We start from the raw sequence: 24,028 nt of genomic DNA, 5'->3' as shown, positions 1-24,028 counted from the left end.
GGCCCCGCCCACATCCTGTTGATTGATCCATTTCACAGAGTGCTGATTGGTCCATTTTACAGAGCACTGATTGGTCCATTTTACAGAGTGCTGACTGGTGCATTTACAATCCTTTAGCTACACACAGAGCGCTGATTGGTGTGTTTTTACAGAGTGCTGATTGGTGCATTTACAATCCTTTAGCTAGACACAGAGTGTTGATTGGTGTGTTTTTACAAAGTGCTGATTGGTGAGTTTACAATCCTTTAGCTAGACACAGAGTGCTGATTGGTGCATTTACAATCCTTTAGCTAGACACAGAGCACTGATTGGTACATTTTTACAGAGTGCTGATTGGTGCATTTACAATCCTTTAGCTAGACAGAAAAGTTCTCCAAGTCCCCACTCGACCCAGGAAGTCCAGCTGGCTTCACCTCTCAATGTCAGAAAAATGGTGGAATAGAAAGCTCCAAACTCCCAAACTCCCCACAAAAACGTAAAACACAAGCCAAAACTATCAGAACCAACTTTGTCAGAAGTCTGCAGAACAGTCAAAAGTTTACAGCAAACCAAAAGAAAGCTGAATTAAGAAAAACATAACTTAGGGCCGGGTGTGGTAGCTCATGCCTGTAATCCCAGCACTTTGGGAGGCTGAGGCAGGTGGTTTACTTGAGGTCAGGAGTTTGAGACCAGCCTGGTCAACATGGTGAAACCTCAACTTACTGAAAATACAAAATTAGCCAAGTGTGGTGGCACATGCCTGTAGTCCCAGCTACTCAGGAGGCTGAGGCAGGAGAATCACTTGAACCTCAGGGGCAGAGGTTGCAGTGAGCGGAGATCATGCTACTACATTCCAGAAAGTCTTGACTCATCACATACAAGCGAGCCTCAATAAGATAAACTACCAATTTCTCATCAGAAACTATGGAGGCCAGAGGCAGTGGGATGATCCACTTAAGGTACTAAAAGAAAAAAAAATCAAATAAGAATTCTATACCTGGCAAAGCTGTCCTTCAAAAAGGAAGAGAAAATTAAGATGTTCCCAGAAAAACATAGGGAGTTCATGATCATGAGACAGTTAATACAAAAGAGATCCTTCAGGTTGAAATCAAAGCACACCAAGTAGTAACTCAAAGCCATATGAAGAAATAAAGTTTCCTGGTAAAGATAACTATGTAGACAAATACAAAAGCCAATATTATTGTATCATTTATTTGTAACATCACTTTTTACTTCCTGCATTATTTAAAAGACAAATTAATAAGAAATAATTTTGCACCATTATTGGGTATGCAATATATAAAGATGTAATTTTGTCATTAGATACAGGGTGCAGGGAATTGAGCAGTCTCGAGCAGAGGTTCTCTAGGCTATTAAAATTAAGTTGGGGAAGTCCTAGCCAGAGCATTCAAGCAAGGGAAAGAAATAAAAGGCATCTGAATTGGAAAAGAGGAAGTCAAACTATTTTTGTTTGCCGATGATATGATCATATACCTAGAAAAGCCTAAAGACTCCTCCAAAAAGACTCCTATATTTGATAAATGAATTCAGTAAAGTCTCAGGTTACAAAATCAGTGTACACAAATCAGTAGCACTACTATACACCAACAATGACCAAGCTGAGACTCAAATCAAGAACTCAATCTTTTTTACAATAGCTGCAAAAAAAAAAAACTAGAAATATACGCAACAAATGAGGTAAAAGAGCTCTACATGGAGAACTATAAAATACTGCTAAAAGAAATCACATATGACACAAACAAATGAAAACACATCCCATGCTCATGGATTGGAAGAATATCATAAAAATGACCATACTGCCTATTGTACAGAATCAATGCAATTCCTATCAAAATACCAACATCATTTTTCACAGAATCAGAAAAAAATCCTAAAATTAATATGGAACCAAAAAAGAGTATACAAAGTTATAATAACCAAAACAGCATGGTACTGGCATAAAAGTAGATAGACCAATGGAACAGAAAAGAGAGCTCAGTAATAAAGCTAAATATCTAAAACAAACTAATCTTCAACAAACCACACAAAAACATAAATTGGTTAAAGGACACCCTATTCAATAAATGGTTCTGGGAAACCTCAATAGCCACATGTAGAAGAATGAAACTCTATCCCTATCTCTTACCATATACAAAAAGAAAGGTGGGAATGGGTGAGGTATTTAAGAACCTGCATATTGGATACAATGTATGCTACTCAGGTGACAGGTGCACTAAAATCTCACACTTCACCATTGTATAATTCATCCATGTAACCAAAACACACTGTACCCCTAATATTATTGAAATAAAAATTAAAAGTATCAACTCAAGTTGTTATAAGTTTAAAGTGTTAAATATAATCCCCATATTAACCACAAAAAATCTAAAAACATACACAAAAGAAAATGAGAGGAGAATAAAAAATGTTACACTATGAAAAAAATCAATGAAACACAATGAAGATGCTAAAGGAGGAAAATGCAGGGGAAATGGCTTAAAACATACTGAAAACAAATATAATAATGACAAAAGCAAGTTCCCCTTAACAGTAATTATATTAAGTATAAGTGGATTAAACCTCCAGTCTAAAGACAGAAACTGACAAAAGCTTTTAAACACATACATACATACATGACCCAATGACATGCTATGTATAAGAGACTCATTTTAGATGCAAAGACACAAAAATATTGAAAGTGAAGGGATGGATAAAGATATCCTATACAAAAAATAACAAAAAAAATCTGGCATGGCTACACTAATATCAAACAAAACAGACTTTAAGCCAAGAAATGTTACAACAAAGACGAGCAGTACACACTAATAAAAGGGTCAACGAATCAAGCAGATATAACAATTAAAAACATATATATAACAAACAGCAGAGTCCCAAAATATCTGAACCAAACACTGACACAATTGAAGGGAGAAACGGACAGATCTATTATACTTGGAGATATAGATACTCTTCTTTTAATAATGGACACAACAGGCAGAGAGAAGAGCAGTTAGTAAATATTTGACTTGAACAACATGATAGCCCAACTGGACCTAACACATATATGCAGAACCCTCCACCCAACATCAGCAAAATACACAATTTTTTTCTAGTGTACATAGAACACTCTGTAGGAAAGACCACATGTTAGGACACAAAACAAGTCTTAATAAATATAAAGAAATTAAAATGAATATGAAGTATCTTTTCTAATATAATTTTTAAAAACTAGAAATTAGAGATGGAAAATTTAAATTCACAAATATGTTGAATTTAAACAACATGCTCTTAAACTACCAATGGGTCCCACAATAAATCATAAGGTAAATTAGAAAATATCTTGAGACAGGGGTGGCACCAAGATGGCTGAATAGGAACAGCTCCAGTCTGCAGCTCCCAGTGTGAATGATGCAGAAGACAGGTGATTTCTGCATTTCCAACTGAGGTACCGGGTTCATCTCACTGGGGCTTCCCAGACACGTGGGTGCAGCCCACGGAGCAGGGCAGGGCATCGCCTCACCCTGGAAGCTCAAGGGATCAGGGAATTCCCTTTCCTAGCAAAGGGAAGCCATGACAGATGGTACCTGGAAAATCAGGACACTCCCACCCTGATACTGCACTTTTCCAATGGCCTTAGCAAATGGCATACCAGGAGATTATATCCCGTGCCTGACTCGGAGGGTCCCACATCTATAGAGCCTCACTCATTGCTAGCACAGCAGTCTGAGATCAAACTGCAAGGCGACAGTGAGGCTGGGGGTGGGGCATCCACCATTGCTGAGGCTTGAATAGGTAAACAAAGCCGCCAGGAAGCTCCAACTGGGTGGAGCCCACTGCAGCCCAAGGAGGTCTGCCTGCCTCTGTAGACTCCACCTCTCAGGGCAGGGCATAGCTGAACAAAAGGCAGCAGAAACTTCTGCAGACTTAAACGTCCCTGTCCAACAGCTTTGAAGAGAGTAGCGGTTCTCCCAGCATGGAGTTTGAGATCTGAGAACGGACAGACTGCCTCCTCAAGTGGGTCCCTGACCCCTGAGTAGCCTAATTGGGAGGCACCTCCCAGTAGGGGGGCGACTGACACCTCATAAGGCCGGGTGCCCCTCTGAGACGAAGCTTCCAGAGGAAGGATTACGCAGCAACATTTGCTGTTCTGCAGCCTCCGCTGGATACCCAGGCAAACAGGGTCTGGCGTGGACCGCCAGCACACCCCAAGAGACCGGCAGCTGACGGTCCTGACTGTTAGAAGGAAAACTAACAAACAGAAAGGACATGCACACCAAACCCCATCTGTGCGTCAGCATCATCAAAGACCAAACGTAGATAAAATCACAAAGATGGGGAGAAACCAGAGCAGAAAAGCTGAATATTCTAAAAATCAGACACCTCTTCTCCTCCAAAGAAACAGAGCTCCTCACCAGCAACCGAACAAAGCTGGATGGAGAATGACTTTGATGAGTCGAGACAAGACTTCAGATGATCAGTAATAACATACTTCTCCGAGCTAAAGGAGGATGTTCGAACCCATCGCAAGAAGCTAAAAACCTTGAAAAAAGAGTAGACGAATGGCTAACTAGAATAAACAGTGTAGAGAAGTCCTTAAATGACTTGATGGAGCTGAAAACCATGGCACGAGAACTGCATGACACATGCACAAACTTCAGTAGCCGATTTGATCAAATTGAAGAAACATTATCAGTGATTGAAGATCAAACGAATGAAATGAAGCAAGAAGTTTAGAGAAAAAAAGAGTCAAAAGAAATGAACAAAGCCTCCAAGAAATATGGGACTATGTGAAAAGCCAAATCTAAGTCTGATTGGTGTACCTGAAAGTAACAGGGAGAATGGAACCAAGTTGGAAAACACTCTTCAGGATACTATCCAGGAGAACTTCCCCAACCTAGTGAGGCAGGCCAACATTCAAATTCGGGAAATACAGAGAACGCCACAAAGATATTCCTTGAGAAGAGCAACCCCAAGACGCATAATTGTCAAATTCACCAACGTTGAAATGAAAAACAAAAAAATGTTAAGGGCAGCCAGAAAGGTCGGGTTACCCACAAAGGGAAGCCCATCAGACTAACAGCAGATGTCTCGGCAGAAACTCTACAAGCCAGAAGAGAGTGGGGGCCAATATTCAACATTCTTAAAGAAAAGAATTTTCAACCCAGAATTTCATATCCAGCCAAACTAAGCTTCATAAGTGATGGAGAAATAAAATACTTTACAGACAAACAAATGCGGAGAGATTTTGTTATCACAACGCCTGCCTTACAAGAGCTCCTGAAGGAAGCACTAAACATGGAAAGGAACAACCAGCCACTGCAAAAACATGCCAAATTGTAAAGATCGTCGAGGCTAGGAAGAAGCTGCATCAACTAATGAGCAAAATAACCAGCTAACATCATAATGACAGGATCAAATTCACACATAACAATATTAACCTTAAATGTAAATGGGCTAAATGCTCCAGTTAAAAGACACAAACAGGCAAATTGGATAGAGTCAACACCCTCAGTGTGCTGTATTCAGGAGAACCATCTCATGTGCAGAGACACACATAGGCTCAAAAAAAAGGGATGGAGGAAGATCTACCAAGCAAATGGAAAACAAAAAAAGGTAAGGGTTGCAATCCTAGTATCTGACAAAACAGACTTTAAACCAACAAAGATAAAAAGAGACAAAGAAGGCCGTTACATAATGGTAAAGGGATCAATGCAACAAGAAGAGCTAACTATTCTAAATATATATGCACCCAATACAGGAGCACCCAGATTCATAAAGCAAGTCCTGAGAGACCTAAAAAGAGACCACGCAATAATAATAGGAGATTTTAACACCCCACTGTCAACATTAGACAGATCGACCAGACAGAAAGTTAACAAGGATATCCAGGAAATGAACTCAGCTCTGCAACAAGTGGACCTAATAGACATCTACAGAACTCTCCACCCCAAATCAACAGAATATACATTCTTCTCAGCACCACATCACACGTATTCCAAAATTGACCACATAGTTGGAAGTAAAGCACTCCTCAGCAAATGTAAAAGAACAGAAATTATAACAAATTGTCTCTCAGACCACAGAGCAACCAAAATAGAACTCAGGATTAAGCAACTCACTCAAAACCACTCAACTACACGGAAACTGAACAACCTGCTTCTGAATGACTACTAGGTACATAACAAAATGAAGGCAGAAATAAAGATGTTCTTTAAAACCAATGAGAACAAAGACACAACATACCAGAATCTCTGGGACACATTCAAAGCAGTGTGTAGAGAAAAATTTATAGCACTAAATGCCGACAAGAGAAAGCAGCAGAGATCTAAAATGGACACCCTAACATCACAATTAAAAGAACTAGAGAAGCAAGAGCAAACACATTCAAAAGCTTGCAGAAGGCAAGAAATAACTAAGATCAGAGCAGAACTGAAGGAGATAGAGACAAAAAACTCTTCAAAAAATCAATGAATCCAGGAGATGGTTTTTTGAAAAGATCAACAAAATTGATAGACCACTCGCAAGACTAAAAAGAAAAGAGAGAAGAATCAAATAGACGCAATAAAAAATTATAAAGGGGATATCACCACCAATCCTACAGAAATACAAACTACCATCAGAGAATACTACAAACATCTCTACGCAAATAAACTAGAAAATCTAGAAGAAATGGATAAATTCCCCGACACATATACCCTCCCAAGACTAAACCAGGAAGAAGTTGAATCCCTGAATAGACCAATAACAGGCTCTGAAATTGAGGCAATAATTAATACCTTACCAACCAAAAAAGTCCAGGACCAGACAGATTCACAGCCAAATTCTGCCAGAGGTACAAAGAGGAGCTGGTTCCATTCCTTCTGAAACTATTCCAATCAATAGAAAAAGAGGGAATCCTCCCTAATTCATTTTATGAGGCCAACATCATCCTGATACCAAAGCCTAGCAGGGATACAACAAAAAAAGAGAATTTTAGACCAATATCCCTGATGAACGTTGATGCAAAAATACTCAATAAAATACTGGCAAACCAATTCAGCAGCACATCAAAAAGCTTATCCACCACGATCAAGTTGGCTTCATCCCTGGGATGCAAGGCTGGTTCAACATACACAAATCAATAAACGTAATCCATCATATAAACAGAACCAATGACAAAAACCACATGATTATCTCAACAGATGCAGAAAAGGCCTTTGACAAAATTCAACAGCGCTTCATGCTAAAAACTCTCAATAAATTAGGTATTGATGGGACATATCTCGAAACAATAAGAACTATCTATGACAAACCCACAGCCAATATCATACTGAATGGGCAAAAACTGGAAGTGTTCCCTTTGAAAACTGGCAAAAAACAGGGATGTCCTCTCTCACCACTCCTATTCAACTTAGTTTTGGAAGTTCTGGCCAGGGCAATCAGGCAAGAGAAAGAAATAAAGGGTATTCAATTAGGAAAAGAGGAAGTCAAATTGCCCCTGTTTGCAGATGACATGATTGTATATTTAGAAAACCCCATCGTCTCAGCCCAAAATCTCCTTAAGCTGATGAGCAACTTCAGCAAAGTCTCAGGATACAAAATCAATGTGCAAAAATCACAAGCATTCTTATACACCAATAACAGACAAACAGGGAGCCAAATCATGAGTGAACTCCCATTCACAATTGCTTCAAAGAGAATAAAATACCTAGGAATACAACTTACAGGGCCTGTGAAGGACCTCTTCAAAGAGAACTACAAACCACTGCTCAGTGAAATAAAAGAGGACACAAATAAATGGAAGAACATTCCATGCTCATGGATAAGAAGAATCAATATCGTGAAAATGGCCATACTGCCCAACGTAATTTATAGATTCACTGCCATCCCCTTCAAGCTACCAATGACTTTCTTCACAGAATTGGAAAAAACTACTTTAAAGTTCATATGGAACCAAAAAAGAGCCTGCATTGCCAAGACAATCCTAAGCCAAAAGAACAAAGCTGGAGGCATCATGCTACCTGACTTCAAACTATACTACAAGGCTACAGTAACCAAAACAGCATGGTACAGGTACCAAAAGAGAGAGATACACCAGTTGGACAGAATAGAGCCCTCGGAAATAATATCACACATTGAAAACCATCTGATCTTTGACAAACCTGACAACAACAAGTAATAGGGAAAGGATTCCCTATTTAATAAATGGTGCTCGGAAAACTGGCTAGCCATACGTAGAAAGCTGAAACTGGATCCCTTCCTTACACCTTATACAAAAATCAATTCAAGATGGATTAAAGACTTAAATGTTAGACCTGAAACCATAAAAACCCTTGAAGAAAACCTAGGCAATACCATTCAGGAAATAGGCATGGGCAAGGACTTCATGTGTAAAACACCAAAAGCAATGGCAACAAAAGCCAAAATTGACAAATGGGATCTAATTAAACTAAAGAGCTTCTCCACAGCAAAAGAAACTATCATCAGAGTGAACAGGCAACCTACAGAATGGGAGAAAATTTTTATAATCTACCCATCTGACAAAGGGCTAATATCCAGAATCTACAAAGAACTTAAACAAATTTACAGGAAAAAATCAAACAAACCCATCAAAAAGTGAGCAAAGGATATGAACAGACACTTCTCAAAAGAAGATATTTATGTAGCCAAAAAACACAGAAAAAATGCTCATCATCACTGGCCATCAGAGAAATGCAAATCAAAACCACAAGGAGATACCATCTCACACCAGTTAGAATGGCAATCATTAAAAAGTCAGGAAACAACAGGTGCTGGAGAGGATGTGGAGAAATAGGAATGCTTTTACACTGTTGGTGGGACTGTAAACTAGTTCAAGCATTGTGAAAGACAGTGTGGCGATTCTTCAAGGATCTAGAACTAGAAATACCATTTGATCCAGCCATCCCATTACTGGGTATATACCCAAAGGATTATAAATCATGCTGCTATAAAGACACATGCACACATATGTTTATTGTGGCACTAATCACAATAGCAAAGACTTGGAACCAACCAAATGTCCATCAATGACAGACTGGATTAAGAAAATGTGGCACATATACACCACGGAATACTATGCAGCCATAAAAAAGGATGAGTTCATGTCCTTTATAGGGACATGGATGAAGCTGGAAACCATCATTTTCAGCAAACTATTGCAAGGACAGAAATCCAAACACCACGTGTTCTCACTCACAGGTGGGAACTGAACAATGAGAACACATGGACACAGGGTGGGGAGCATCACACACTGGGGCTTGTCGGGGGGTGTGGGGAGCAGGGAGGGATAGCATTAGGAGATATACCTAATGTAAATGACGAGTTAACGGGTGCAGCACACCAATATGGCACATGTATACATATGTAACAAACTGGCACGTTATGCACATGTACCCTAGAACTTAAAGTAAAATTAAAAAATATATATCTTGAGATAAATGAAAACAAAAATAAAAATTTACCTAAAACTTATAAGATGCAGCGAAAGTTGTACAAAAAAATGAAATTTAGAGCTGTAGACACACATTAAAAAGAAAATCTCAAATAAACAACCTAACTTTATGCCTTAAAAAAACTAGAAAAAGGACAACCTAAATCCAAAGCTAGCAGAAAAATTAATAAAGGTAAGATCAGAGATAAATGAAGTAAACAGAAAAACAATAGGTAAAATCCATGAAATCAAGAATTGGTTCTTTGAAAAGGCTGACAAAATTGAGACATTTAGCTAGATTGAATAAAAGAGAGAGAAGACTCAACTAAAATGAGAAATGAAAAAGAAACATTATAATTTTATAAACTAAAAAGGATTATAAGAAAATACAATGCACAACTGTAAAACAAAAATTGGATTACCAAGGTGATATGAATAAATTCATAGAAACACCAACCTACCAAGACTAAATCATGAATAGAAAATCTGAACTATAGAGGAAGTGGAGCAAGATGGCTAAATAGAAGCTTCCACAAATAGTCCTCTCCACATGAGCACCAAATTTAACAACTATCTACACAAAAAAAGGACCTTCATAAGAACCAAAAAACAGCTTAGGTACCATGTCGCTCACAGTGAGAAAGAGCACCAAGTGCTTTCTTGAGGTCTCCAATTCCAGACCTTTGCTCTTAGATGGCATTTCTGGACCTACCCTGGGACAGATGGGAGCCCGCTGCCCTGAAGGGTGAATCCCAGGCCTGGCAGCATTCACCAAAAGCTAACTGAAGAGCCCTTGGTCCTTAAATAAACACAGGTAACACCCTGGCAGCACTCCCCATGGGCCTGTGGTGGTGCTGGTGAGACTCCTCTGCCTTTTAGTGAAGGTGATATTCTCTGGTGGCAATGTAGTAATTACTCACTTTTATTTTTTGTGTATCTATTAATATATTTTTAGATTTGAGGTTACCATGAGGCTTGCAAATCATATAACCCATTATTTTAAACTGATGATAACACTGATTGCACAAACAAACAAACAAAAAAACAAGCAAAAAGGAAACTAACAAAAACTCTTAAATTTGCCATTTTGATGCCAATAATCCTTAAATTTGCCCTTTTTGGCCTTTGCAGCTAATAACACTTAATTTTTCCTAATTCTAGAATTAAGTTTTCCCTAATTCTAGAATTGAAAAATGCAATAAACATGCTGAATAATGCATCAGAGTCCTTAATAGCAGAACTGATCAGGCAGAAGAAAAAATTAGAGAGTTTCAAGAGGGGCTATTTGAAAATACACAGAGGAGAAAAAAGAATAAAAAACAATGAAGCATGCCTACAAGATCTATAAATTAGGGAAAATTTAAGTGTTATTAGCTGCAAAGTCCAAAAAGGCAAAATTTAAGCATTATTGGCATCACAATGGCAAATTTAAGAGTTACTGGCCTCAGAGAGGAGGTAGAAAGAGGGAGATAGGGGTAAAAAGTTTATTCAAAGAGATAGTAACAGAGAACTTCCCAAACCTAGACAGAGAGATCAATATTCAAGAACAAGAATGTTATAGAAACAGATTTAACCCAAAGAAAACTACCTCAAGGCATTTAATAATCAAACTCCCAAAGGTCAAGGATAAAGAAAGAATCCTAAAAGCAGCAAGAGGGAAAAAAACAAGTAACATACAATGGAGCTCCAATACATCTGGCAGCAGACTTTTCAGTGAAAATCTTACAGGCCTGGAGAGAGTAGTAGGACATATTTAAAGAGCTGAAGGAAAAAGACTTTTACCCTAGAATATTATATCTGGCAAAATATGCTTTAAGCATAAAGGAAAAATAAAGACCTTCCCAGACAAACAAAAGCTGAGGGATTTTATCAACACCAGACCTGTCCTATAAGAAATGCTAAAGAGAGTTCTTCAATCTGAAAGAAAAGGACATTCATGAACAATAAGAAATCATTTGAAGGTATAAAACTCACAGGTAGTAGCAGATAGAAAAACAGAGAATAGTATAACACTATAATTGTGATGTGTAAAATACTCTTAAGTAGAAAGACTAAATAATGAACCAATTAAAAATAAATAGAACTACAACAACTTTCCAAGACATAGTTAACAATAAGACATAAAGAGAAAAATCAAAAAGTTAAAAAGCAGGGGGATGAAGTTAAAGTGTAGAGTTTTTGCTAGTTTCCTTTTTGCTTGTTTTTGCTGTTGTTGTTGTTGTTATTTGTGCAATCAGTGTTAAGTTATCATCAGTTTAAAATAATGGGTTATATGATTTGCAAGCCTCATGGTAACCTCAAATCTAAAAATATATACAATGGACACACAAAAAATAAAAAGCAAGTAATTACTACATGCCACCAGAGAAAATCACCTTCACTAAAAGGAAGACAAAAAGGGAAGAAAGAAGGAAGAGAAGACCACAAAACAACTGGAAAAGCAATAACAAAATGGCAAGAATAAGTCCTTAGAATCAATAACAACACTGAATGTAAATAGACTAAACTGTCCAATCAAAAGATACAGAGTAGCTGAATAGATTTGAAAAAATCAATATCCAATGATTGGTTGAGTATAATAAACACACTTCACCTATAAGGATATGCATAGACTGAAAGCATAGGGATGAAAAAAAGCATATTCCATGCAAATGGAAACCAAAAAAATCAGCAGGAGTAGCAACACTTATATCAGACACAATACATTTCAAGATAAAAACTATAAGAAGAGACAAAGAGGAGCATTATGTAATGATAAAGGGGTAAATTTAGCAAGATAATATAACAATTGTAAATATATATGCACCCAAAACTGGAGCACCACAGTTTATAAAGCAAATGTTATTAAAGCTAAAGAAAGACATAGACCCAAATACAGTAACAGTTGGAGACTTCAACACCCCACTTTCAGCATTAGACAGATCCTCCAGACAGAAAATCAACAAAGAAATCTCGTACTTAATCTACACTATAAACCAAATAGATATTTACAGAACATTTCTTTCAGTGGCACCAGAATACACATTTTTCTCCTCAGCACACGGAGTATTCTCAAGCATAGACCATTTGTTAGGCCACAAAACAAGTCTTAGAACATTCAAAATAATGAAATAGCCAAGATTTGGAAGCAGCCTAAGTGTCCAGCAACAGATGAATGAATAAAGAAAATTTGGTACATATACACAATGGAGGACTATTCAGCCATAAAAAGAATGAGATCCTGTTTATGTGCAACAACATAGATGGAACTGGAGGACATTATGTTAAGTGCAATAAGCCAGGCACAGAAAGACAAACTGCATGTTTTCACTTATTTGTGGGAGCTAAAAATTAAAACAATTGAACTCATGGATGGACATTGAGAGTAGAAGGATGGTTAACCAGAGGCTAGTAAGCATAGTGGGGGAAACGAGGATGAGTACACAAAACCAGAAAGAATGAATAAGATCTAGTATTTGATAGCACAATAGGGTGACTATAGTCAATAATAATTTAATTATACATTTTAAAATAACTAAGAAAGTATAATTGGATTATTTGTAACATAAAGGATAGATGCTTGAGATGATGGATACCCCATTCACCCTACTGTGATTATTACACATTATACGCCAGTATCAAAATATCTGATATTCCCCATAAATATATACACCAACTAGGTACCCAGAAAAAAATTATAAACTAAAAATTTAAAAAAGAAAATCTGAACAGACCTATAACTAGTAAGAAAATTGAACCGGTAATCATAACGCTTTCAACAAAGAAATGTCTAGGACCAGATGGCCTCACTGATGAATTCTATAAAACATTTAAAGATTTAACACCAATTCTCCTCACACTCTTCTAAAAAATAAAAGAATAGGGAAAACTTACAAAATAAGACCAACATTACCATGATACCAGAACCAGAAAAAGACATTATTTTTAAAAACATACAGAGCAGTATCCTTATGATACAGATGCAAAACTTCTCAAAAAATACTAGAAAAATGGACTAATGGCATATTAAAAGAATCATACACCAAGACCAAGTAGGATTTATCCCAGGAAAGAAAGTGTGGTTCAAACTAGGAAAATCACTCAGTATAATACACCACATTAATCGAACAATGGAAAAAGCCACATGATCATCTCATCTCAATTGATGCAAAAAAAATGCATGTGACAAAATCTGTTACCATTTCATGGTTTGAAAAACACTCTCACAAAATTATGAATAGAAGAAAACTTCCACAACATGATAAAGTACATTTATAAAAACCCACACCTAATATACCTGCCTTAGTCCATTTTCTATTGCTATAACTGAATACCTGAGACTTGGTAATTTGTAAAGAAAAGAAATTTATTTCTTACAGTTCTGAAAGCTGGGGATTTCAAAGTTGAGGAGCCACATCGGAGGAGTGCCTCCTTGCTGGTAGGAACTCTCTCTGCAGAGTGCTGAGGCTGTTCTGGGCATCACATGGCGAAGAAGCTCACAAGAGACAGACAAACTGGCTTTTAAAGAAGACCCATTCTCTTGATAACCCATTAATCTATGAATGGATTAATTTATTCATGTGGCAAGGCCTCCATGACCTAATCAACTCCCAAAGGTCCCACCTGTCAACACTGCTACAATGGGGACCAAGTTTCCAGCACATGAACTTTTAGGGTATACATTCAAACCATAACAATATCCAATTGTGAAAGACTGAAAATTTTCCTCTTAAGGAAAAAATGAGGATGTCCACTTTCATCACTGTTATTCAACATTGTACTAAAAGATCCAGTCAGAGAAATTAGAAAATAAAAAGAAACAAAGGCCATCCAAATTGGAAAGGAAGAAGTAAAACTATCTTTATTCACAGATGATTCATATATACATATAATTTCAAAGGTTCCACACAAAAACATTAGAGTTAACATATAAATTCAGCAGTCACAGAATACAAATCAGTGTGTGCTTTGATTTAAACGTGCCTCCTAAAGTTCATATACTAGAAACTTAATCCCTGGTGCAACAATGTTGAGAGTTAGGCTCTTTAAGACATAATTAGGTAATGAGGGCTTTGTCCTCATGAATAGATTAATGCCATTATTGTAGGAGGGGGTAAGTTATCACAAAGTAGGCTCCCGAGTTTGTCCCCCTTCCTCTCTCTGTTGCTCTCTCATGCTCTCTCACCCTTCCACCTTCTGCCATGGGATGATGCAGCAAGAAGGCTGTAGCCAGAGGCAGGTCCCTTGACCTTGGACTCCCCAGCCTTCAGAACTGTAAAAAATAAATTTTTCTTTATATTAGCCAGTCTGTGGTATTCTGTTACAGCAACCCCAAATGGAGGAAAATGCGGGGAATGAGAGTTATTGCTTAATGAGTTTCCTTTGGGAGTGATGAAAAGTTGTGGAAATAGATGTTAGTGATGGTTGCACAACACTGTGAATGTAATTAACGCCACTGAATTGTATACTTAAAGATGGTTAAAATGATATATTTTATGTTAGGTATACTTCATATTTTGAAAATTTTAACTAGATTAATTCAGTTCAACTTGACTGCTGGGATAAAAGAAAACGTCTTTAGATAATAATGAATATTTAGCTCAGACAATGGATCATCACAGGTCAAACAGAGGCATTCCCACTTCAAAACAAAATAGAAGAGTGTTGCTCCTGTATCCTCCACCACAGCCATTTAATTTTGTCTTAAAAGTTTAGGTCAATGCCAATCCTAAGCAAAAACAACAAAGCTGGAGGCATCACACTACCTGACTTCAAACTATACTACAAGGCTACAGTAGCCAAAACAGCTTGGTACTGGTACCAAAACAGATACATAGACCAATGGAACAGAACAGAGGCCTCAGAAATAAAACTACACATCTACAACCATCTGAACTTTGACAAACCTGACAAAAACAAGCAATAGGGAAAGGATTCCCTATTTAATAAATGGTGTTGGGAAAAGTGGCTAGCCATATGCAGAAAACTGAAACTGGATCCCTTCCTTACACCTTATACAAAAATTAACTCGAGATGGATTAAAGACTTAAACATAGGACCTAAAACCATAAAATCCCTAGAAGAAAACCTAGGCAATATCACTCAGGACATAGGCATGGCCAAAGTCTTTATGACTAAAACACCAAAAGCAATGGCAACAAAAGCCAAAATTGACAAATAAGATCTAATTAAACTAAAGAGTTTCTGCACAGCAAAAGAAACTATCATCAGAGTGAACAAGCAGCCTACAGAATGGGAGAACAATTTTGCAATCTATCCATCTGACAAAGGGTTGATATCCAGAACCTACAAGAAACTTAAACGAATTTACAAGAAAAAAACAAACAACCCCATCAAAAAGTGGGCGAAGGATATGAACAGACACTTTTCAAAAGAAGACATTTATGCGGCCAACAAACATATGAAAAAAGCTCATCACCACTGGTCATTAGAGAAATGCAAATCAAAACCACAATGAGATATCATCTCACATTTATTAGAATGGTGATCATTAAAAAGTCAGGAAGCGGCAGATGCTGGAAAGGATGTGGAGAAATAGGAATGCTTTTACACTGTTGGTGGGAGTGTAAACTAGTTCAACCATTGTGGAAGACAGTGTGGCGATTCCTCAAGGATCTAGAACTAGAAATACCATTTGACCCGGCAATCCCATTACTCGGTATATACCCAAAGCATTCTAAATCATTTTACTATAAAGACACATGCACATGTATGTTTACTGTGGCACTGTTCACAATAACAAAGGCTTGGAACCAACCCAAATGCCCATCAATGATAGACTGGATAAAGAAAATATGGCACATATACACCGTGGAATACTATGCAGCCATAAAAAGGATGAGTTCACATCCTTTGCAGGGACGTGGATGAAGCCAGAAACCATCATTCTCTACAAACTTAACACAAGAACAGAAAACCAAACACCACATGTTCTCAATCATAAGTGGGAGCTGAACAATGAGAACACATGGACACAGGGAGGGGAACATCACACACAGGGGCCTGTCAGGGGTGGGGGCCTAGGAGAGGGATAACATTAGGAGAAATACCTAATGTAGATGACGGGTTGATGGGTGCAGCAAACCACCATGGCACATGTATACCTATGTAACAAACCTGCACGTTCTGCACATGTATCCCAGAACTTAAAATATAATAATAATTAAAAAATTTGGCTGGGCGCGGTGGCTCACGCCTGTAATCCCAGCACTTTGGGAGGCCAAGGCGGGCGGATCATAAGGTCAGGAGATCGAGACCATCCTGTCTAACACGGTGAAACCCCATCTCTACTAAAAATATAAAAAATTAGCTGGGCATGGCGGCATGCGCCTGTAGTCCCAGCTACTCGGGAGGCTGAGGCAGGAGAATGGCGTGAACCCGGGAGGCGGAGCTTGCAGTGAGCCGAGATCATGCCACTGCACTACAGCCTGGGCGACAGAGCAAGACTCTGTCTCAAAAAAAAAAAAAATTTAAGTTTAGGTCAATGCAATAAAATATTGATTGAATACTAACATGATACATGTTGGAAAGGAAGAAAAAAATATCTTTGCTTTTAACCGTATATCAAACACCTAAATAACCTAGCAAAAATATTACATATACAGAAATCATCTTTTTTCCTGCTATGCTCAGATTAATTTCGGGTGTCATATTAAGAATTCATAATGCCACATACTATTATTTGCTTGAGATAAAGCTATTGCTTCCCCTTTACACAGATCTTAGTTAAAATAGACTCTCTAAGTAATATAATGATAACTCACCAATCTTTTTTTTTTTTTTTTTTTTTTTTTGAGATGAAGTGTCACTCTGTCGCCCAGGCTGGAGTGCAGTGGCGTGATCTCGGCTCACTGCAACCTCCACCTCCTGGGTTCAAGCGATTCTCCTGCCTCCGCCTCCTGAGTAGCTATTACAAGCATGCACCACCACACCCAGCTAATTTTTGTATTTTTAATAGAGACAGGGTTTCATCATGTTGGTTAGGCTGGGCTCGAACTCCTGACCTCGTGATCCACCCGCCTCGGCCTCCCAAAGTGCTGGGATTACAGGCATGAGCCACCACGCCTGGCCCACCGAGATAATTTTTATATAATTGTCGTTATATTTGTATGCTATCCAGTGACTCCCTAACAAGTTGTTTGTATATTTAATAATGTTTTCCCCTCATTTATTTATAATTATATCATGGAAACACATAATCATTCAATCACATTTTCATCTTCCAAAACAGAGTCTTTTTACCTTGAGATTTTTCTGCTGCTTGGTAAGTTTGTTCTTCAGTCATCTTTTGTAATTGTTCTTCTGAAACATCAGCCTTAATAACAAAAGTTGTAATAAGTAATTAGAAATTATATACATATATATATATATCAAGACTGGTATTTAATTACCTGCTTTGAGAAAAAGAGCTAGCTTTTTGCTCTCATCTACAATGTCATTGCAGAAACATTTTATTTTTCATTATTTCCTGAATGTATCAAATTAAAAAGTCAGAACAATTAATGGACCTGAGAGGCAATTGGGAACACTGAATAGCAAGGAGGGTGCCCAGGCAATATTGTGATTTTTCCCTCGCAAATAGTTCTAAGCAAATAGTGTTAATAATTATTAAGATTCTTGTTTAGATTTATATTTTAGTCTGTTTTAATCTTTAGAAGAACTCAAATGGCTTACAAAATTATTATTATAGGAATACTTTAATAAAATGTATGATAAAAATATATTGTGGATACATGTCAAATATGTACAGCCCTTTTATCTTTTCCCTTTTTCCCAGCATTTTTGCCCTGAGAATTTCCTAATTAAATGCTTTTTAACAAAAGCAATTCTAAAAATTTTCTAGGTCTTGTTTAGAGACCTATATAAAATTGTTTCAAAATTAGTTTGCTTTTACAATCATCTTATTGTATAAAAATTTTTTTTGTAGATGAAGCTGAAAACTATGAAAATTTCCCTTATCTCAGAATGACATATCTTTTATATTACCATTAAAACTAAAATGTAACCCACAACTTTTTAATCAATATTAAACAATTTTTATAAGTTAAGAATATTACTTAGATTCCCAAATATTACTTTCAGCATTCTAAATATAAAGTGGGTTGTGTTAAAAGGCAAACTTTTAATTCTCTTGAAATAAGAAAATATTGAATTTTTAACCCATTTAAATGGGTTAGCATTTATTTATTGAAGGAGCAATATGAAATAAACAGCTTTCAAGTTTCTATATATATCATACCTTTTTACTTTCTGTAAGAACAGGAGGTAAAATGAATGGTGATATCACTGTTTCGTTTTTTTGAGCCAATGTTCCAACAGACAGTGAATCTTGAACTTCTTTGCTGGATGATACTGTTGTAAGTGATTTATCATGGGTCTCTGATGGAGATTTATAGGATTGGTTTTCAGCAACTGAAACTTCATTTGAACTCTCTAAAAATGCTGATTCATCTTGAGACTTAAGGATCTGTGAAAGATCTGAAATAGCAGGGCTAGATCGTTTCTTCTCTGAGCTTTAGAATTATAAAACATCTGGTATTAGATTATGTGAAGACCATTTTATTTGCAACTGAAGAATCATTTTAATAATATATAAGGATATTAAATAAGTAAGTATAATTACTCATTAGTTTATGGTTATTCCAATATGAAATTGATGCTAGGTAACAAGTTGAAGATAGTAACATATGTCCTGTGATTTAAAGGGATACATAATACTAAGGAAATCATTTAAAATACTCCAATATAATCATTATTCAAGGTTGTAAGCCATAGAACAAGAAAAATTTACTCAGCCAAAGTAGAACATAGGATGGTTTGGAGATTTACCCTTTAGTCACATTTATTCCAAAATTATTTTTCCACAATTTTATTTCAGAATGAAAATTAAAATATCTCCACAGTCACTTTGACATTAAAAGATCACCATCTTTCACCAAAGTCAATTTCCCAAGCTCTGAGTTAGTTTTCTTTAAGATAAGGGGTATTTATTCTCTACCAGTTGCCAAAGGATCAGCTTTCTGGATTCCAGAACTAGGGTAACCAGGTGTCACAGTTTGCATGCACAATCCCAGTTTCTGCTTGTTGTCCCAACATTCTAGTTTAGATGATAATTTAAGTGATCAAACTATATAAAAATTTAACAAAGCTTTCCTAGTCCTATGAAATGCAACAGAATTTGATGCATTTTGTTTTGAACAGCTATTACCCCAGTTGACATAATTTGCCTAAGGTTTGTTGCAAAGTGTTTAAAATAATTTGAAGTTTGGTCTCACAGAAGAAAAATTTTTCAATGTACCTACTGCCACCTATCCTACGTTTGTTAGTTTAGAATGAATTTTGAACTGCAAAGTTTGGGTTATAAAAAAGGGGAGTGGGGTGGAGAGGACAGCTCTGAAAAAAAAAGTATATATATATATATATATATATATATATATATAGTGCTGACAGTTTAAAAAAACATAGAATTTATGACAAACAGACTTTTGTAGTGGCATTATAAAGCAAATTGCCATATTAAAAGTAAAGAGAATAGCTGGCTTCCTATCCTAAATTAAGGATAGCATCTCATTCTCAAACCTGATTTATTAGTTCTATTAGGTGTTTGAATTTAAGATGATTAGTTCTAAAATAAAGTCTAACACTCATCTGGACACTATTTGTTACAGTTATTCACAAACCACCACCCCAACACTAATATTATCACATAGCTAAAAATAGAAAGCAAATGTTTTTTAAGATTCTGAAATGGTTATTAGGGGACATCATTAATCACTTGATTCTACACAGGCAATTTTCTTATAACAATGAGAAAATATGTGGCAATACAAAGAACAATGCCTTAAATGCTAATATACTGTACATTTATAACCATATTCCCACGTTCAGGCTTTCCCCACTTCTGTTGTCTCTTGCATCCATAAGGAACCACAGCATAACAACCATGATACTTCCACTGAGGGGGTCAGGAATAAAAACTACTAGGAAGGTGTGCAAGCAATGCTGTATTCAAGCTTGTGCCAGTCAAAGAGATGTGGAAATACTTTCAAAGCCCTACTGATTAGATGGTGAAGGAGGAGGAGGAAGAGAAAGAGGAGAATGAGGAGAAGGAAGAGGAGGAGTTGAAGGAGGAGGAGGAGGAGAACAGCAATGATGACTATAGAAGGCAGCCTATAGCCACAAAGAAAATAATAATAAAGCAAGTTGTTTTCACCCTCCCAATTATTTGGTGAATTGCCAAAAACAACCAAAATATAGTTTATAAATCTTACTAAATTTGTGTCATTCACTGTCTGCTTTAGATTAAGACTCTCTAATAATCACTCCATGTCTAAATACTACCGTATAATAGTCTAATTATGAGCATGTATTTTAGCAGCTTTTATATAAGCATATTGACAGCACTCTACATGACAGTCTTCAACATCACTGAAGTGGTATAAAGAGTGTATCTCTTCCTGCTTGCAAAAGCATTTGTTAACTCTGAAGATCTGAGCATTGCATCCTTTTCTTACTAAGCAAATAGATGTACAAGGGCACTATTTATTATGCATATAATCATGGACACTTCATAATTCTTAAATCAGACAAAATGGAAAATGTCATTGAATGTTAACTGCCCAAACTGCCCTCTTTATTTTTTTTTCTTTCTAATACCTTCTTTTTCAAACTGCCCTCTTTATTTTTTTTTTCTTTCCAATACTTTCTTTTTCCGGAACTTTCCTTAACTCCATCCATTTTCTAAAATGTCAACACAACCCCCAATCCATATCCTCTCCCCTTAGGGAAAAAAACTCTCACAGGTATTTATGTTACACTGAATTTTTAATTATCAATGCAAATACGAGACAAATTATCAATAAAATACTAATAAAATATTATTGATATTCTTATCTGCAACAATACAACATGTGGAACTCATTCCTATATACAAGAAAAACAAAAATATCTAGGACCCGAAGTTTGTAATACAGTACAAACTAACATGATTCTAAAAATCAATTTTATAGAAAAATTTCAATATAGGTGTTATAAAAGTCAAAAGTTATAAATATTTTGATAGTTTTTACAATACAATACAATTAATGTTGATCAAAATATTCATAGTGACTAGTTTTAGGCTCCTCAACTGAAAAGAAAGTCAAAAAGTTTTAAAGGTTCAGTAAAAGTCCAAGATGACTAAGAGCCTGGAAAAGATAAAAGGTTAAAACACTTGAAATTATTAACTTAAAGAAAATTAGGGTGATGGACTGCTTAGAAATAGTTTGTAAATGTATAAATAATTCTTATGCTGACAATGTTGCCTAGCTACATCTAGCTCCACCAGCAATGCTATTACTGAAATAATCAGAAATGGAACTCAAACTATGGGGAAATTATATAGGATAAAAGAAAAACTATTCTCTTACTAGAAAAAAAAAGTCATCAGTTAATGAGAATGACAAACATGTTTCTGAATGGCCTCGGTTAATATCTCCCTTCCCTACTTGGTAGCTTGGCAGAGACTCTCAAGGTCCTTCATTGATAACTGCAATATTGCAATGTGCTCTGCTCGCTATTCTGCTTGTAAGTTTTTCTCAATAAACCTTGTTATGTGTAGCTAGTGGTATGTGACTCGTGTATGTTACAGCTTTTGAAAAACAGAGAGTTTGGGCTACCGCTGAAGTGGGAAATAACCCCATTGGAAGCCTTATACCAGACAAACTACTAAGTTGAAATGGCCAATATCTCAGTGTCCATATCGTATATAGTCTTAAAAACTCAAGAAAGAACAAATTGCTTGTTCTCAGTGAGAATGGCTATAGTGATCAGGTAGCTAAGGAATTACGGGACACCATAATCTCAGATTAAGTAGGATGTTTCTTTTGGATTTTTACCATGCACATTTTCCCTTTGCTCATTTTGCTTTGCATCCTTTTTATGTAATAAATCATGGTCATCGTAATGACTATTTGATGAGTGCTGTGAGCTCTCCTAGTGAGGGCAGTAGTCTTGGGGAACCCAAACACACAAGGCTACTATTTTTGTACTCTATATTAATACTGTTTGCTGTTTCTTTCTCAGATTATATAATTGATATAAGGACATTCTGAATTATTAAACCGAGAACAGGTACACAGCCATATTAGTTGGATAATTATCTATTGATAACCTCCATAATGGCTGGCCAAGCACATGGTGAAAACCTGTCTGAACTGGCAAGATCATTCCATAATATTTCATACAAGAAACATAAAAATAAAGTATTTTTCAAACAAAATGTAATCAATGCACTATGCAATGCTAGTCTGTTTGGTTAAGAAAAAAAAAACAAAAACTAGTACTTGACACTCCATAGTGGACTACTGAAACTTAAACAAGGAAAGAAACAGCTCTACTTACTCCAGTCTCTGTCCTTACACAAGCTATAGAATAAATTGCTGCCACTACTGACACACATATGTAGCTGAGGATTTGGCAAGATATGCCAAGATTAGTACATATACCTTTAATAATCCTTCTTGAGAATGTTTTAATTCCTGTTACACATTTTCAATGTGGGACAAAACCCAGTAAAATGTGCATTGCTAGAATCTCCAGATATTATATCACACTGATGACTGTGATCAACACCGAAGAAACATTACATGTTGTCTAGGCATACCTGATTAAAGATAACTTTAAATGATCCAGGGCCCTGTTATTCAGATAAATTTGGAGAAGGCAGTCATCATCTGGACAGCATCAAAAAGATACATTCTATATCACTTAAAGCAGGCATCCCCAACCCCTGGACCACAAACTGATACCAGTCCATGGCCTGTTAGGAACTGGGCAACACAACAGGAGGTGAGTGGCGAGTGAGCAAGCAAAGCTTCCTCTGTATTTACAGCCACTCTCCCATCGCTTGCATTACCACCTGAGCTCCACCTCCTGTCAGATCAGCAGCCGCATTAGTTTCTCATAGAAGCACAAATCCTATTGTTAACTTCACATGTGAGGGATCTAGTTTGCGTGCTCCTTACGAGAACCTAATGTCTGATGATCTGTCACTGTCTCCCATCACCCCCAGATGGGACCATCTAGTTGCAGGAAAACAAGCTCAGGGCTCCCACTGACTCTACATTAAGGTGAGTTGTATAATTATTTCATTATATATTATAATGAAATAATAATAATAATAAAGTGTACAATAAAGGTAATGTGCTTGAATCATCCTGAAACCACCCCCTCCATCCTGGTCTGTGGAGTCTTCCACGAAACTGGTCCCTGGTGCTAAAAAGGCAGGAAACTGCTGCTTTAAAGGAAAATTTATCGGGCCTCCAGTCCCAACCACAAACGATTTTCCTTGTTAGGTAGTGGTGATATCACATTTTACACCTGGTGATTCTTCAAAGCACTATATCAATGCAACTAATTTAAAATAGAAGCCCATATATTAACATGCCTTGGAAGAGGTCTAGGCATCCTAAAAACAAGTTCTAACTTTAGATTTTGCCGTATCTTTCAAACTCATGGGATTACACATACCTGTAAGAAACCATTTTCTGACGGAAGCTTTTGGCAAAAATACTTCAAGTTATTTGTCATTTCCTACATCTTTGGATGAAATGATTTTCTTCTCCTGCTGAGTGGCACATG

At 36.7% G+C, this 24,028-nt stretch overlaps 1 protein-coding gene across 45 annotated transcripts in view; it reads right to left on the bottom strand.

Moving 5' to 3' along the window:
- The window catches only part of CCDC7 (coiled-coil domain containing 7), a 439,541-nt gene that overhangs the window by 280,910 nt on the left and 134,603 nt on the right, over positions 1-24,028 (bottom strand). For 43 of the 45 annotated variants that reach the window (XM_047425743.1, XM_047425742.1, NM_001321115.2 and 40 more), the window contains 2 exons: positions 18,648-18,921; positions 17,651-17,723 (listed from right to left, as the gene is read on the bottom strand). In XM_047425743.1, the coding sequence (XP_047281699.1) occupies positions 17,651-17,723; positions 18,648-18,921 (347 nt within the window). The remainder of the gene's footprint in view (positions 1-17,650; positions 17,724-18,647; positions 18,922-24,028) is intronic. The other 2 variants (XM_011519679.1, XM_017016652.2) reach the window with 1 other exon arrangement.

Source organism: Homo sapiens, chromosome 10 (assembly GCF_000001405.40).
Source record: "Homo sapiens chromosome 10, GRCh38.p14 Primary Assembly".
In the NCBI taxonomy this organism is placed as follows: Eukaryota; Metazoa; Chordata; class Mammalia; order Primates; family Hominidae; genus Homo; species Homo sapiens.
The sequence above is the reverse complement of the archived record's forward strand: the minus strand, read 5'-3'. Positions and strand labels throughout refer to the sequence as shown.